The sequence below is a fragment of the Homo sapiens genome, chromosome 3 (genome assembly GCF_000001405.40).
Source record: "Homo sapiens chromosome 3, GRCh38.p14 Primary Assembly".
Classification (NCBI taxonomy): Eukaryota; Metazoa; Chordata; class Mammalia; order Primates; family Hominidae; genus Homo; species Homo sapiens.
Window position 1 is genome coordinate 169,969,126 of NC_000003.12, and position 15,927 is coordinate 169,985,052.

Here is a 15,927-nt window from a genome sequence, read left to right on the forward strand (position 1 = left end):
TTCTGTCATTTGTTGCTTGATGTTTTATGTTTAGAAAGATGGTTAATAGATTCAGTGATCTTTAATTATACTTTGCACATTGGGGAGAAATGTTTGATACAAACAAATAAGTTCAGGGTTAAAAAAAAAAGTAGCTAATTTGCTTTTTCTTTGTAATTCAGTATAATTTCAGATTCTCGTGTCCCATCGAAGTTTCTAGCAAGAGGACTGTTGTCACATTTCCTTCTTGGACTCATTACTGGTCACTGAAAACCAGAAGTGAGCTACATGTACTCATACAGTAACTACATATAGATTAACAATGTGCTGCTGCATAGTAGAAGTTGATTTACAATCCTGGTATCAAGAAATTTTAGAGTTTAAAAGGATCTAGTAGGGTTTGTTTGGAAGCCTTTTTCATAAATTCAGTCTTAACATGAAAGCAGAGTGGTGATCCTACAGCTGACTGATCTCACCCAACACCCTCGTTTTTCAGATAAACTGAGGTCCAGTGAGGTTTTGTGACTTAATCCAGGATCGTCAATCAAGATAGTAAAACCAGATTTAGACCAGGTCTTCTGATTCCCAACTGAATACTCTTTCTGTCTCACAATAGATAAAAAATAAGTTGCTTTGAAATACTTTAATCCTGACTTCTTTATTATTGAATTATGCAACGTAAAGACTTAACATGACTTGTCCTTGCTAAAGAGAATCATCCCATTCAGTATTCTGCTTAATGTCCAGTTGAGTTTTGAGACATTTAAATGGCTAATTCTTAGAACTTTTATAACCCTCCATTAGTTATTTTTGTTGCACCCATCTGTCTTCCTGGCAAGCAATAAAACCTTGACATATCATGGGCTTATGTGCTTAATTTCAGGACAGGGAAGAAAAGAGAAAATTTGGGACTATATAGCCAGACTATACAGGTCTAATTTCTGACTCTGAATATTCTGAAGAGAAAGAACTCAGGAAGCCAGTCCTAAATCAGAAAACTACCCCTCAAAGGCTTAATGGAGGGTTTTGCAGTTTAGCAAACCCATTGCTAAGGAAAGAATACAATAGAAGGGAGTTGGAGCTATTACAGAAGGGCACTGCTGTTGTCTAGATACTCTTGTATAGTGTTATTTGTGTAGCACATATTGTTACTAATGATTAAGGTCCCCTCCAGCTTTCAGATCTTATTGTTAAACTACTATTTGCATTTTTCACAAATATTTTATACTGCTTGAACCAAGCCTTTTTCTTTTTTGCTCAGTTCATGGTTGACAGATCAACTAAGCTAATTTTTATTGGATGTAGTAATTTTTAAAAGTTCCTCTGTATCACAAATTCTGTAAGATTGGTGCCTGTGACATACTTACTCTTGATTTTTTTCTCAAAAAGGTTAAATATTGGCTAAAATAACTTAGAAATGTCAAACTCTATCTTATTATAGTATTTGAGTGTCGGTGTATTCTAAAGTAAAAAACAGTATTTATTAAAGAATTTTATAAGAGTATTCTAACCAAACTTCCAATTTAAATAATTTTGTATTTTAAGTTACAGCACCCAGTGTATTGGTGTTGGGTGCAAAGAAAGGAAAGGCAGTCCAGCCTAAATTTATTGGCTCTTAGCTTCCTCATTGTAAGACAGTTGTGTTCATTCATTGAACTAAGAAGTTCTCTCCATTTGTTTGAAGATTGATAGGTTGGTTTCTCTTTATTAGTGGGTGCTACTATTCCCAAAAGGCCTTCACTTTGTTAGAAGTCTTCTAGGAAAATTATAAAAATATTCTGTTTACATCAAAAGAGAACAAAGAGGGGGAGGTACTGTAGTCCAATGTATAAACAAAAAGAAGGTAAAACTTTTATACCTTCTTATGCTGCATCAGGAGAACAGTGAAAGTGAAGACTGCATGCACGTTGGATGTGGTGGCTTGTGCTTGTAATCCCAACTATCTGTTCATGTTCTCATGGTACTTTTTTTTTTTTTTTTTAAAGAGACAAGGTCTCACTGTGGTGCCCAGGCTGGAATGCAGTGATGGCATCATAGCTCACTAGAGACTCAAACTCCTGGTCTCAAGTGATCCTCTGGCCACAACCTCCCAACTAGCTGGGACTACAAGTGTGTGCACCACCTCACCTAGCTAATTTTTTTTAATTTTTTGTAGAGATGGAGTATCAGAAAGTTACCTAGGCTGGTCTTAAACTCCTGGTCTCATGCGATCCACCTCGGCCTCCCAAAGTGGTGGGGATTACAGGGATGAGCCACTGAGCCCTGCCTCTCATGGTACTCTTCTACAGCAATCTATCTTTCTGGCTTCAACGCCAAAGCAATGGCACAAATTATATTGTTGCATTGAAGGCAGTCTACAATATGGATAAGTTATTATAAGTTAATAAATTGCAATACTTTAAGAAAGTATCAGTAAACAAGTTAATTCTGTGTCTAGTTGGGAGAGATTATCCAAGTCCGTGTTTTCTGGTCTCTTCCTTTCATTGCCTCTTGATAGTGCCTTTACAAAGGACAGGGTGCAGTTTTAGAAGAGTTTGGTGAACTTGAAATTAATTGTTAGAATGAGATTTTTAAATTTTGTGCATACATATCAGGTTCCCTATTGCGTAATATGTAATCAGCTTCTCAATTTTTTATGTACCCTAATATTTAATCAGGTTTTACATGTGATGCCTCTATCAGCAGTCAGTAGATTAGTATATTTATGTCTGTATTCAGGAATGGTATAACTGAGTGTTAGTATGAGTATATTTGTATCATGCCTAAATTTGATATGGTCATTCTCTACAATTACTTTCCTTCCACATTTCCTTTCTGTTGATAAAGTTGGAAATCTGACATCTTTACCTAGCCATTTTATTTATCCTTTATCATTGAGTTCTATGTGTTCTACATTTGAAATGTTTCAGATATCTAAATTTCTTTCCCATTTATAGTCCAGTATCACACTACAATTTACTTGAATATTACAGTAGTCTTCCATCCATTTCCCTGCCTTATGCATTTTTTTCCAGTTCATCCTACACACAGCCACCAAAATCATGTCTAAATCATTTTTCTAGTTATGTCCTATTAAGAAACTACTAGTGGTCTTTCTGCTGCTTACAGGGTAAAGTAGAAATTTCCTTGCCTACCTTGATGACTATTCTGCTTTTACACACTTAATCTCCCAGTACTTCCTAGCTTGTCTCTACTAGAGCCAAATTTTGTGTCATTCTCAGCCACAATATTTATGGCTTTTCAGTCAGTTTACCCAAAACTTGTTCATCTTTCAAACTTTATCTTCCTCTTCCAGTGTTCCCATCCACATTGATAATCTCACTCCTAATTTGGGTGCTTTCACTTTGTTGCCAAGGCTGGAGTGCAGTGGCATGATCTTGGTTCACTGCAGCCTCAACCTACCAGGGCTCAGGTGGTCTTCCTACCTCAGCCTCCTGAGTAGCTGGAACTACACATGTGTAGCACCTTTTTCTATCTTTTTTTTTTTTTTTTTTTTATGTAGAGAAGGAGTTTCACCATGTTGCCCAGGCTGGTCTCAAGCCTGGTTTCCTGGGCTCAAGCAGTCTGCCTGCCTCAGCCACCCAAAGTACTGGGATTACAGGCATGAGCCACCCAACCCATCCTACTCTGTGTATTTCAAAAATATTTTTTCTGCCCCTCTTTTTGGGAAATAATAATTACTGCTTCTAACAGTTATGTAACAGAGTGTACATATCATGCCTTACAAATCTTTGCTGTTAACTGTAGCATCCAAAGATGATAGGGTGAGTACTCTGTAAGTCTGGAAGAACAGGTCACATTTATTCAGACTTCTCCCCCACAATTTTTAATCAAGCACCTCCCAGTAACAAGTTATTTAATTAGATCGATTTTAAGTTGACAACAGATGTATCAGATGAGGAAAAAATTGAGCATGTGTGGTGTGATTATATAATAGAATTGGTTTCTATAAACCATTTATAGTATTCAACTTTTATAGTATTACTTTTTCAGATGTATGGATATATAGACTATTATTTACTAATTGAGGCTCTGCGAAGTGTAGTGTATTTTACAAACATAATTAAATACTATCATTTAATATGCCTGATACTAACATATATTAATATATTTTAGCATGGTTTCAAAAATTTTAATTAGGAATTTTTGCCTTTTATTATATCAGAAAGTATATTTTGCAGTCAGGCCTCAAATAAATCATTATGAATCTTGTAGTTGTTCCTGAACTTGGAGTGTTAAATTTTGAATTTGCCATTTTTTAAGGTTCCAGTTTTTTGCTGGGCGTGGTGGCTTACGCCTGTAATCCCAAGACTTTGGGAGACTGAGGCATGCAGATTATCTGAGGTCAGGAATTCGAGACCAGCCTGGCTAACATGGTAAAATCCCATCCCTACAAAAAATACAAAAAATTAGCCGGACATGGTGGTGGGCACCTGTAATCCCAGCTACTCGGGAGGCTGAGGCATGAGAATCGCTGGAACTCAGGAGGTGGGGGTTGCAGTGAGATGAGATAGCACCATTGCACTCCAGCCTGGGAGACAGAGCAAGACTGCGTCTCAAAAAAAAAAAAAAAATCTACTTTTTGTGATACGTATTTTCATATATAAAAGTTTTAATTTCATAAATACTTGGTTTTTATAGTAGCCTTCTTTTGGGTTGAGTGATTTGGGCTCTTAATTTTTATTGCCACAAATAGCCCACAGCTGGTAGTTGCAGACTGTAGGAATTGTACACTGGTATGATCTTACACAGGTAATTGGGCTACTGGAAGTAGAGGACTTGCGAAATACAAAGGAAGAAATGAGAGATGTACCTGCCAGGAGACTCAGTAACCAAAACAAAAACTTCCACTTCATCTAACAAATTATTCCTTTTTGGGATAAAGTTAAAGCTGAAACGTAGGTTTGTTGGTTGTTCTTTATTTTCCTCAAACATAACTTAATTCAGACTTCTCTTAACTTTGGAAAAACCCAACATAGATAAGTTGGATAGATTCTTTTTTCTATTTTGCATCATTAGATTTTTTTTGCTTGAAACAGCTGTCTTTAGCATTAATTCTTAGCATCTTAGATTCTTGCCAGATTATTTTTTACTATTATTTGTCATTTTATTCTTTAATGAAGCAGCCCTTCCTGAAATCATTCACATTTAGATTATATGTTGCTGGAAATACTGAATGTTCTGTGTATTGTGCTTAAGCATGCAATTATAGACAGTAATTAAGTACAGTGCATTTGTTTCAATAGCTTACAGCAATAAGACAGCTTTTGAAAGTTTATACATAAGATGTATACAAAGATAGACTGCCTTCATTTTCTTCAGTACGTGAGTAGGGAAAATAAATTCACAGGAGGAATTGTCAAAGAAGTTCAGAATGAAAGGGAATAAAGGGAAGATGGGGAATGAGAAACAATGAAGAAAATAATAGAAAATTTGGGAAAAGATATAGAAGAAAGAAAGCAGAGAAGGATTAAAACGGCCTTTCCAAAACGACTCTTTGTCAGTGCACTTCCATTAATCACCTCTTCAAATGAGATAGTAATAACTCTTTTTGCATTTTTCATTTTTGCCTCACCCTTACTGGAGAAGAGAAGATGAGAAAGACAGTCCCAGGAGTGTCTGGTATCTGCAGCCACAGGGGGAAAGGAAAGAGAATACAAATTGTCATTGTGTCAGTAGTTCTTATGGCTACCACATTGGGGGCAGCTGTCATTGATTAATTTGAGAACTCCTTCTGCGATCTGTTGTCCATTGTTCAGGATACATATCTTTGGCTGTTATTTTAACATTTATTTATGACACTTGTTTCTACTTACTTTGACATTTGGATACTCACTATTAGCAACATCTTATCTTTTTAATTACTGTTTTGTGGCTTATAAAAAGAGACTATAGGCCGGTGACGATGGCTCACGCCTGTAATCCCAGCACTTTGGGAGGCCTAGGCTGGCGGATCACTTGAGGTCAGGAGTTCAAGACCACCCTAGCCAACGTGGCGAAACCCTGTCTCTACTAAAAATACAAAAATTAGCTGGGCATGGTGGCAGGCACCTGTAATACCAGCTACTTGGGAGGCTGAGGCAGGAGAGTCACTTGAACTCAGGAGGCAGAGGTTGCAGTGAGCCGAGATCGCACCACTGCACTCTAGCCTAGGCAACAGAGTGAGACTCCATCTCAAAAAAAAAAAAAAAAAAGACCGTATAAGAATGAAAGTGAACTGGTACAAAGTAGTTACCATTGTGGAAAAAACAACTCAAATGCCTCATAGTTGAAGCCAAGAAGCAGACAGGCTTTGCCTCTATCAACTTATATTTGAAAAACGTAGTTTCTTTAAATCTCCATTTTTGTCTTTTGAATACTTTATTAGGTCGCTCCAGAGAAAGCTTGAAAGCAAGGCCTGTACTCCACTTGAAAAGATTCATAAAATAGATTTGTAAATTATTATTCAGCGCATGAATTTCTCAAGTATATGATTATACTAAATTAATATTCATATGTTGCAGGAAGTTGGTGAACCATCTAAAGAAGAGAAGGCTGTGGCCAAGTATCTTCGATTCAACTGTCCAACAAAGTCCACCAATATGATGGGTCACCGGGTTGATTATTTTATTGGTAGGATTATATCAGTAAAATCGTATTAGTGTACATATGTTATGAAGTTAACCTACATTTGGGATATGTAGAAGTTTTAAAAGTGCTTTCCAAATGTGATTGTTCTGGTGATGGACATATGGCAGTTGATTATTCTGTTCTTTTCTTTTATGATTGAAAATGTCTATAATAAAAAGATAACATGTTTTCTAATAACAATTGTTGGAAATTTTTTTAAATAGGATTTATTTTCAGTGTTTTAAAATACTACCTTTTGTTTAGATAGTATGCGTACTTGGAACTAAGAGCACTGGCTTTTTTTCCCCAAACAATGTCATTATAAGCTGATGTCATTTATAACACCAGAGCTTATAAGTAGGGGTTGAGTTTGCCTTTCTCATCAATTAAAAGTGAATTGCAGCTGGGTGTCGTGGCTCACACCTATAGTACCAACACTTTGGGAAGCCAAGGCAGGAGGGTTGCTTGAGGCCAGGAGTTCGAGACCAGCCTATGCAACACAATGAGACCCCATCTCTACAAAAAAATTAGATGAGTATGATGGCATGCGCCTCTGAAGTGAGAGGATGGCTTGAGCCCAGGAGTTAGAGGCTGCAGTTAACTATGATCCCACCACTGTACTCCAGCCTGGGTGACAGAGCAAGAACCTGTCTCTTAGAAGAAAAAAAAAACTAAATTGCCAGTGTAGAGGAAAAGTCCTTTATCGTCTCTTTCTTTACTGTTTTTAATGATTTGACATTCATTACAAGTTTTAAAAAGTAGATGTGCTAATCTCTTCAGATATAATATGTTTAGCTGTTTCTTGTGACAGCAGTGGATTGTTGACAGAGCTTCTTCCTCAGTGTATTAGAGTAAAACTTGATGAGAATTTTTATTACTTGCAGGGAGTGGTGAACATTTTGGTTTATCTACATATGCTTGTGATTAATAAGAGTGATAGTTACATACAGATATTTTAAATTTTTGAATATTTCCCCATTAATTTAACTTGCTTTAGTTGGTCTTTCTGAATGCCATTATTTCCCAACATTACTTTTAAAAGATACTTAATATAGTTCACAAGTTGAGGTTTTGGGGAACTACTAATCATGATCATGTTAGATTTAGTTTTCTGTTGAGTTTGGTTTTCTTTTTTGTTGCCAGAGTGTTGAAATTTTACTTTATAAAATATTATTTAGATAGACATAAATCCCCATGTATGCTAAATTTAAAATAATGAATTTCTTCTTTAGCTTCAAAAGCAGTGGACTGTCTTTTGGATTCAAAGTGGGCAAAGGCCAAGAAAGGAGAGGAAGCTTTATTTACAACCAGGGAGTCTGTGGTTGACTACTGCAACAGGTACTGTTTATTTCTTAGTGAAGAATAACATAATAATTTTAAATTTTCTTCATAGTCCTGAAGCTCCTTACATCATTAAATGTAGTGATACTACAACATAACTCAAATACTGTTTTCACATGTAACCTGATTTCTTTGGTACCTCTGGAAATGTGTTTGGTATTAGACTATTATACTTTTAACTGTATATAATTTTTATTTATGTTCTATTTTATATATTTGTGAGCCCTACTGAAGGGTCAGCAACAAAAGTCATATACCAGTGCCTACAGTAGAAAAGAAAGTTTTTTCTTTTGTAGAGCAAATTGGTTGAGGAGTCTTTTTTTCAAAACTTTTGCAGGAATTCCTATTAGCTGTGTTACCGCTACTTTTTTAGTGCCTGCACCCTGAGCCATAAGCCTCATACCCTTTCCTATTTGGTTCAGTGTTTGCTAATGTAGTATTTCTTCTAAAATCAAGGAAGCTGCAACATCTACCTTATCTTTTTCTGAGAATTTCAAGATGAAATACAGCTAATTCAGTAATATACATATATTTTTCATAATAGATACTTTTTCTGTTTTGAAAAAACTTTTGATGTTAAGTGGTTTACCTAAAAGACAAAATCACCTTCCTTTTGGAAGGAAGTATGCTGGTTTTTCTTTCCATTTCTTTTCTTTTTTTTCTTGGTTTACTTAATACTAAGCATTTTCTTAATATATGTTAACTAAATTTTGTTTTCATAACACTAAAGCTTATCTTTTGGGATTTTAGATTATTTTATGTGTACTAATATTTTATTTAATGGCACCTAAAGTATCAGCCACATAAGAACCCTCTTAAAAACCACTATTTCACAACCTGGTTTCTTAAGCTGTCAAGTTAAAGAATTATTGAATATTTCTTAAAATTCTTAGTTGCCAAAGACTAGAGGTTACTAACAGACCTTTTAGAAACAGTAGGTTTCGGCCAGGCACAGTGGCTCATGCCCGTAATCCCAGCACTTTGGGAGGCCGAGGCAGGTGGATCACAAGGTCAGGAGATCGAGACCATTCTGGCTAACAAGGTGAAACCCCATCTCTACTAAAAATACAAAAAATTAGCCAGGTGTGGTGGCGGGCACCTATAGTCCCAGCTACTCGGGAGGCTGAGGCAGGAGAATGGCGTGAACCCGGGAGGCGGAGCTTGCAGTGAGCCGAGGTTGCGCCACTGCACTCCAGCCTGGGCGACAGAGTGAGACATTGTTGAGACAAGGATGAGCTAACACTCATGCAGTTGATATTTGCTTGTCTTTTGTAGCAACTTGTCTAGTTAGAATTAGCTCCAGCAAGCATATATCCAGGGCAACTTGAATCTGCTCGTGGGGAAAAAATAAAAAGGTGAATAGAATTAGCTCCACGGTACAAACTTCCAGGCTGGGCACAGTGGTTCACGCCTGTAATCCTGACACTTTGGGAGACCAAGGCAGGGAGATCACATGAGGCCAGGAGTTCAAGACCAGCCTGGCCAACATAGCGAAACCCCATCTCTACTAAAAATACAAAAATTAGCCAGGCGTGGTGGCATGCACCTGTAGTCCCAGCAACTTGGGTGACTGAGACATGAAAATAGCTTCAGCCCGGGAGGTGGAGGTTGCAGTGAGCCGAGATCGCACCACTGCACTCCAACCTGGGTGACAGAGCAAGACTCTGTCTTAAAAACAAACCAAAAAGTACAAACTTCCTTACCTGCCACAAAACTGATGTATTTTTTACATGTTGTGTAAAAATTAAGAGATGCTACAAATGCAGAAACTGGGGCACAGAGAACTTAAGTACTTTATCTAAGGCTACACAGCTAGCAAGTGGCAGATCTAGGGTTCTACATCTAGCAGCCTGTCTCCACAGTCTGTGTTCTTAACTACCGCTCTATACTGTCTCCTCCAACAAAATGACGATGCATTTAATGGAGCTATTAGATCTGTAAGCCCAAATCTCTGAGTAGAGCAGCCAGTATGAATCCACATTTTTTGGCTTTTTAGGAGCCTTGGTACCTTGTTATTTGAAAAGCTCAAAAGACCTGAGTACAGAGAGTGTCCAAAGACACTCGATTTTCATTGTATACGCTCTTCCCACTGATGTCAGATTGTTTGAGTCCTTTCTGCACTAAAATAAATGAGAATAGCATAACTTTAAGGTCTCCAGAGCCACTTCTAATATAACCGTAGAGTCTTATTGGCCAGTTCTCATGAGTTGCTGCCCAATAGCAGACAAAATCACAAAGGGTCTCTTGACCAGTTTCTTTTTTTCTTTTTTTGGCATCCTCCAATACTGTCAGTTTTTCTGAGGCAGCTAAGTGGCATGAGGGAGTCTGAGGAAAAACAAAATAGGAAAATGTAGGATGATAAAACAATCTTTTCTAATGTGATCTATACCTTTTTATGGCCTATATCATGAATGAACTCATACATACTAGGTTAAGTCTCCACAAGACTTTGTATCACTGACCCCCAATCCAGTTATGTCGTCCTCAGTCTTGTGCACATGCCACACTCATTTTTTCTTCTAGTCTTTTTCCTATCATAACTTGCCACTTTCCCTAAACGGTTCTGTTTCCTCTGTCCCACCTGCCTCTCAAAATCACAAACAAATCCCTCAAGTCCTTCCTCTACCGAATGTACTCTTCCCCAGGCCCTCCAGCCTTCATCAGCCTTTGTATCTAAAGTTCTACTGAGTTTATCAAGTTAGTACCTCCCAGTTTGGCCCTTAACTATTTTAGAATTGCTACATATGTGTGAGTTTTTTTAAAATCTCCTGCCAGCTAAATCTGAAAACAATTGTAAGACTGTTTTATACTTTATTGTAACTCCATAGCAATTACCACAGTGTGAGCACTTCATAAAAACTCACCTTTGCCACATTGGTGGAAGTCCCCAACATGTCTGGCATTTAATAAATGTTTGTTAAATCTGAAAAAAAAATGGAAGTGAAGGAAAAAAATACAGAAGTAATTTTTTAAATGTTTTAGAAGCTGTTTTAAAACCACTTACTCAACAAATAGTCTAGGCTCCAGGAATACAATAATAACTATGACTTGGTCCCTACATCAAAACATATTCTGATCTGTTAGGGAAGATTTATAACTAATCACAATGCAGTGTGTTGAATAAGGAAGAGAGAGATGGTGAAACTATGAAGAATGACATCACACAGAAAATGTTTTAAGTAAATTTTGAAACATAAATAGGTGATTACCCAACAAACAAGAGAAGAAAGGAAATTCATTCCAAGCAAAGGGCATAGAACACACCGAGATAGGAAAGTATGAGTAGTTGTGTAAAAATGTCAGAGAGTTTTATGTTAGTAATGTGTTCTATGTCATGGGTTTAAAGCCAAACAAACGGAGGCTCTGATACTATACAAATGTTAAATAATGTCAGTCTCATCTTTCAACCTAATTGTGAAATTATTTTCAACACAATTTGATTGAAAGTTAATAATCTACTTTTCTTTCGTGGGGGTGGGCAGCTGTGCAGGAAAATTGACAGAAGCAGATGATCCTGCTGGTTCTATTGCCTTCAGTATCTACTCATCAGGGAAAAGGCTTTTTTCTACTAAAGTTGCATTGTTTGTTTTTAAAATTCTTTATTAAGAATCATTTTTTCCACTAAAGTAAATTTAAGAAAATGGGAACTGTTGCAAATGATTTAGAAGAAAATCCAAATTACTAATAATGTTGCTTCGTAGATAGCCAGCCACATTACCATTTGAGAATATATACTTCAAGTATCTGTATGTGTACACATGTACTCTTAATATATGGACATGTATATTAACTGCATTATAAAATGCTGCTTTTTCAATTAACATATGAGGAACAGGATGTATTTTTATTTTCATTTGGAGTGGAAATAAATGTTCCTGAAAGAAAATCTGGAAATCATATAAGTGCACAAAGAAAATTAGAATATATTTTCATTATAGATTTTTTTTGTAAGACATTCTGGAGTAAAAAATGTAAGACTACACTTCATATTCAAATATGCCACTACTATTCTTAAATCCCACTTTGTACTCATAAGTAGTTAATCATTAAGGTCTCATTTCAGATTCTTGTTTGTTTATATATGTATATGTATTCATAGCAGATATGATGGTAGCATTTTGAGGGGCAGTTTGAACATTTGCACAATTATATGCACAATCATATTTACATAATTTAAAAATAGCTCTTCCAAATAAGTAGTATGGGCCAAATGAGGAAACCTAGAAATTAGCTTTGTGGAAGTGCTCATAGGCTGGACCTAATTGGGGAGCAGATGGAAGCCCAGCCAGGCAGGTAAAACATAGAAACATAGGTGCTTCAGGGGACTGAACACAGTGACAAAAAGAAGTGGTTATCTGGGCAGGAAGAAAGCATCTAGTTAACAAGTGCTGTGATGTGCTGGAGCAGGCACCAGTGAGGTGTAAGTAGAAAGGTAGCTAGATAGTCACCATTAGCAGGCACCAGTGGTGGTAGTGAGACGTAGCTTCTAGATTGTATTGTGGCAATTAGACATTATCAAAGCAGGAATGGAGAAACCAATCAGAAATTCTGAAACTAGAACATGAGATTTGAAAAAGTGACTTTTAGATGACAAAAATAAGGGCAACCCAATTTCTTGAGTAGGATTGTAAGGTTAAAGAGAAACTACCAAGCAACGTTGACTTAATCTGGGGTCAGATAAAAAATGAATAAAGCAAGGATCTCTCTCTCTCTTAAGAAGTTTACCGTCTAGTGAAGGAGCAAACAACTACTACAAATTATATAGTGAGTTAGAAGATAAGTGCTATGGATAGGGTAACAGGAAACGAGAGAATGGGAAGGTGGGCTTATGTTTTAAACAGAGTAGGTTGTGGTTGAGGGAAAACTTGAAGGAAGGGAGTGAAACAAAAGGACCTGCTTATTTGGGGGAAGAGCATTCTAAGTAAAGGGAACAGCCAGTGTGAAGGCCCTAAGGTGAGAATATAAAATATAGTAATAACTGATAAAAAGAGAGAAAACAATCTATTTAGAGAGAAATTAGTGAAACCAGGAATACATCATGTTTTGCCAAATATATTGCACATTTTTCAATTTGATGTTGTGCACGTCCTTTTCAGAGTCCAAAAATCTCACCTTAGTATATTTAATCATTGCTTAATTGAAGATAATCATTACAGTGGCACACTGAATTGCGAAGTACTTGGAGAAAAAATAACACCAAGAAAGCTGAAAAGACATTATTTGGACCCATCAAATCATCACTTTTAATCTGTTAACATTTCTTAAACTGTTTATTTTCTCCTTTCTTTATTACGTCAGCTCTTGCATTTGAGACTTAACATAAAGTGAAGCTGAGTCTTGATTATATGAACCCAGAAAGAGTCTTTATATGGATAATCTCAAACCTATAATCTCTTTTATACTTAAGGTACATCATTAAAAGTGAAAATTATATTGAATATCACTGAGTTTTGACAACTTTTATATAATTGACTGTAAAGTGTTTTGATTTAGTGGTAGAGTTGACTACTTTTTCACGGGCATACTAGTTGTAATTTCTCTTGTGTTGCTAATTTATGCCTTCCTTTGCTTATTTTATTCAGGTCTTGATATTTTTGCTTTTCAGTCTCTATCTATATGGGGAGTGTAATGCCATACCTGTTTTTCCCAAAGGCTTTTAAAGAAGCAGTTTTTTCACCGAGCCCTAAAAGTAATGAAAATGAAATATGATAAAGACATAAAGAAAGAAAAAGATAAAGGAAAAGCTGAAAGTGGAAAAGAAGAAGATAAAAAGAGCAAGAAAGAAAATATAAAGGATGAGAAGACAAAAAAAGAAAAAGAGAAAAAAAAAGATGGTGAAAAGGAAGAATCCAAAAAGGTGAGTTAATCTAAAATTAAGTAAAAATTTAAAAATCATTATGTGCACATGAACACTACTGGCCTATGAGCACATTTAAGTATTATGCAACACCTACCTGAGATAACTATATTAGAGTTGTTATAAATACCGTGGTTGAGAATTTTTATTTCTGTGTTACAAATAGTCAGTGAAAGTTTTTTGACTGTATGAACATCATATTTCTTGCTTACTTGTGTTATTTCTTCTGTCCAACTTGTGTTTTCATAGGAGGAAACTCCAGGAACTCCTAAAAAGAAGGAAACTAAGAAAAAATTCAAACTTGAGCCACATGATGATCAGGTTTTTCTGGATGGAAATGAGGTGAGAGTAAGCCTATAACTAGAAGTTCAGTTTTCTATAGGAGTTTTTAGAAAGATGTTTGATGCCTTCACTAATAAAAGGAAAAATTTTGAGAAATCTAATTATGCTCTTAAATGTATAAAAGCTACTCCATTTTTAAAAATCAATAATTTCTCTTATTTAGATTTTTAAAAGTCAGATTTGACTGTGAGTGATAGGAAACCTGAAATAAAAGCATCTTAATACAAAATAGATGCTTATTTCTTTTTTATCAGTGAAATCTGTAGGTAAGCTGTACAGATACGTCAGCTCCATGGTGGATCCCAGCTCTTCTTTTCTCCTCTGTCTGAGGCTTCTAGCTAAGGTTACCTTATGGTCCAGAATGACTGCCAATCTTATATCTGCATCGAAAAGAGGAAAGGAGAGTGAAGAATATGTCTCCTCTTTAAGGAGACCAGTTTAAGGACACTGTCCAGAAAGCTGGTAATTTCATTTCTGCTTGAATTCCATTGGCCAGAACATAGTCACATGGTCATGCATATGAGAAGTAAAATCTTGGAAATGCACTTTTTATACAGGATGATTATTTGCCCAGCCGAAATGTAGGGTTTCCATTATTATCAAAGAAAAAAGAGCAGAATAGGAGATAGCTACAAGTCTCTATCTCTTACAGAATGTAAGTCAGACACATCACTTGAGGGGCTTAAAATTTTTAACATTTCTTGATGCTTTATGCTTATCATTTGTAATGGAAGATTTGTATGGTGGTAGCCTTCCATAAAGACTGCTTAATTCAGTCACTTCACCAGTACGTAAACATGAGTTATATACTGGGCATTGAACTGTTGTGAATTTCAGGATATATCCTTTCCTGTTATACCTATACAATAGTAACATCTATAAAGTCATGGCTCCTAGGGTTGTGTGTTTGAAATTCTTACTTGCATGAGACTATCTAGAGTGGGATTGTGGGGGAGGATTATATATCTATAATAAAGTGTCCTCAGGTGACTGATGTGAACCCCTTGTTGAGAACCACTGTAATAGAAATTTTTATTTTTATAGGCGTTGGGAATAGCTTGATAAGTAGGATAAAATCTCTTAATGGTCTAGCAAAGATACAGGCACTTAAACATGTTAATATAGTACAGTGTGGTAAGCATTAATGGTGTGAAAGCACCAGGTAGGAATAGTTAATTTAGTCAGGAAGGATAAGAAGGGTCTAAAGGACATTTGAGCTTAGACTTGAAGATGACTGGCAGATTGCCAGGCGTGCCAGGAAGGAGGTTAGGTCTGTTAGGGAAGGAAACAGCCTGAGCAAACGCATGGGTGCTTGGTATCCTGAGAAGCCTAGATTTTATTCTGTAGAAAGCAGCATGCACTCCATAACTTTTAAAGTTGTGAAATATCTTTTTTAAAAAAACATGTTTTTTTAGAATGGAAACTGGCAGAAGTAATATCTGTGAATCTGATTCCCAAGGAAATGGGCAGAGTAAAATAAGAGGTTAAAGTGGAACCTCTGGTGTTAAAAATTGAAGAACCACGTTGGAAAGACAATAAAGAGTTCTGGTCAATATAGAAATAAGAGGGAAGAGTACTGTTATTTATAGAAACTAAGAAATAAAACTGAGTTTTATGGATGAATGATCAAACAGAGTTCTGATCTGAATGAAGTAAATTTCTGTTGTGTAAAATAAGAGCCTGATAAAAGTAAATTAAGTTTTGAAGTAGTGGTTCCCAGCTTATGGGCCCTCCATGGAGGAGTAGGCAATGAAATTAATACAGTCATAGAGACTATGTTCACCAAGCATGATCTTTAA

General features: G+C 36.2%; 1 protein-coding gene across 3 annotated transcripts in view; it reads left to right on the top strand.

Moving 5' to 3' along the window:
• SEC62 (SEC62 preprotein translocation factor) overlaps positions 1-15,927 on the top strand; it is a 31,567-nt gene that overhangs the window by 2,319 nt on the left and 13,321 nt on the right. For 2 of the 3 annotated variants that reach the window (XM_047448819.1, XM_011513114.4), the window contains exons 2-6: positions 162-258; positions 6,483-6,591; positions 7,821-7,926; positions 13,582-13,786; positions 14,036-14,128. In XM_047448819.1, the coding sequence (XP_047304775.1) occupies positions 6,561-6,591; positions 7,821-7,926; positions 13,582-13,786; positions 14,036-14,128 (435 nt within the window). In that variant the 5' untranslated portion in view covers positions 162-258; positions 6,483-6,560. The remainder of the gene's footprint in view (positions 1-161; positions 259-6,482; positions 6,592-7,820; positions 7,927-13,581; positions 13,787-14,035; positions 14,129-15,927) is intronic. The other variant, NM_003262.4, reaches the window with a different exon arrangement.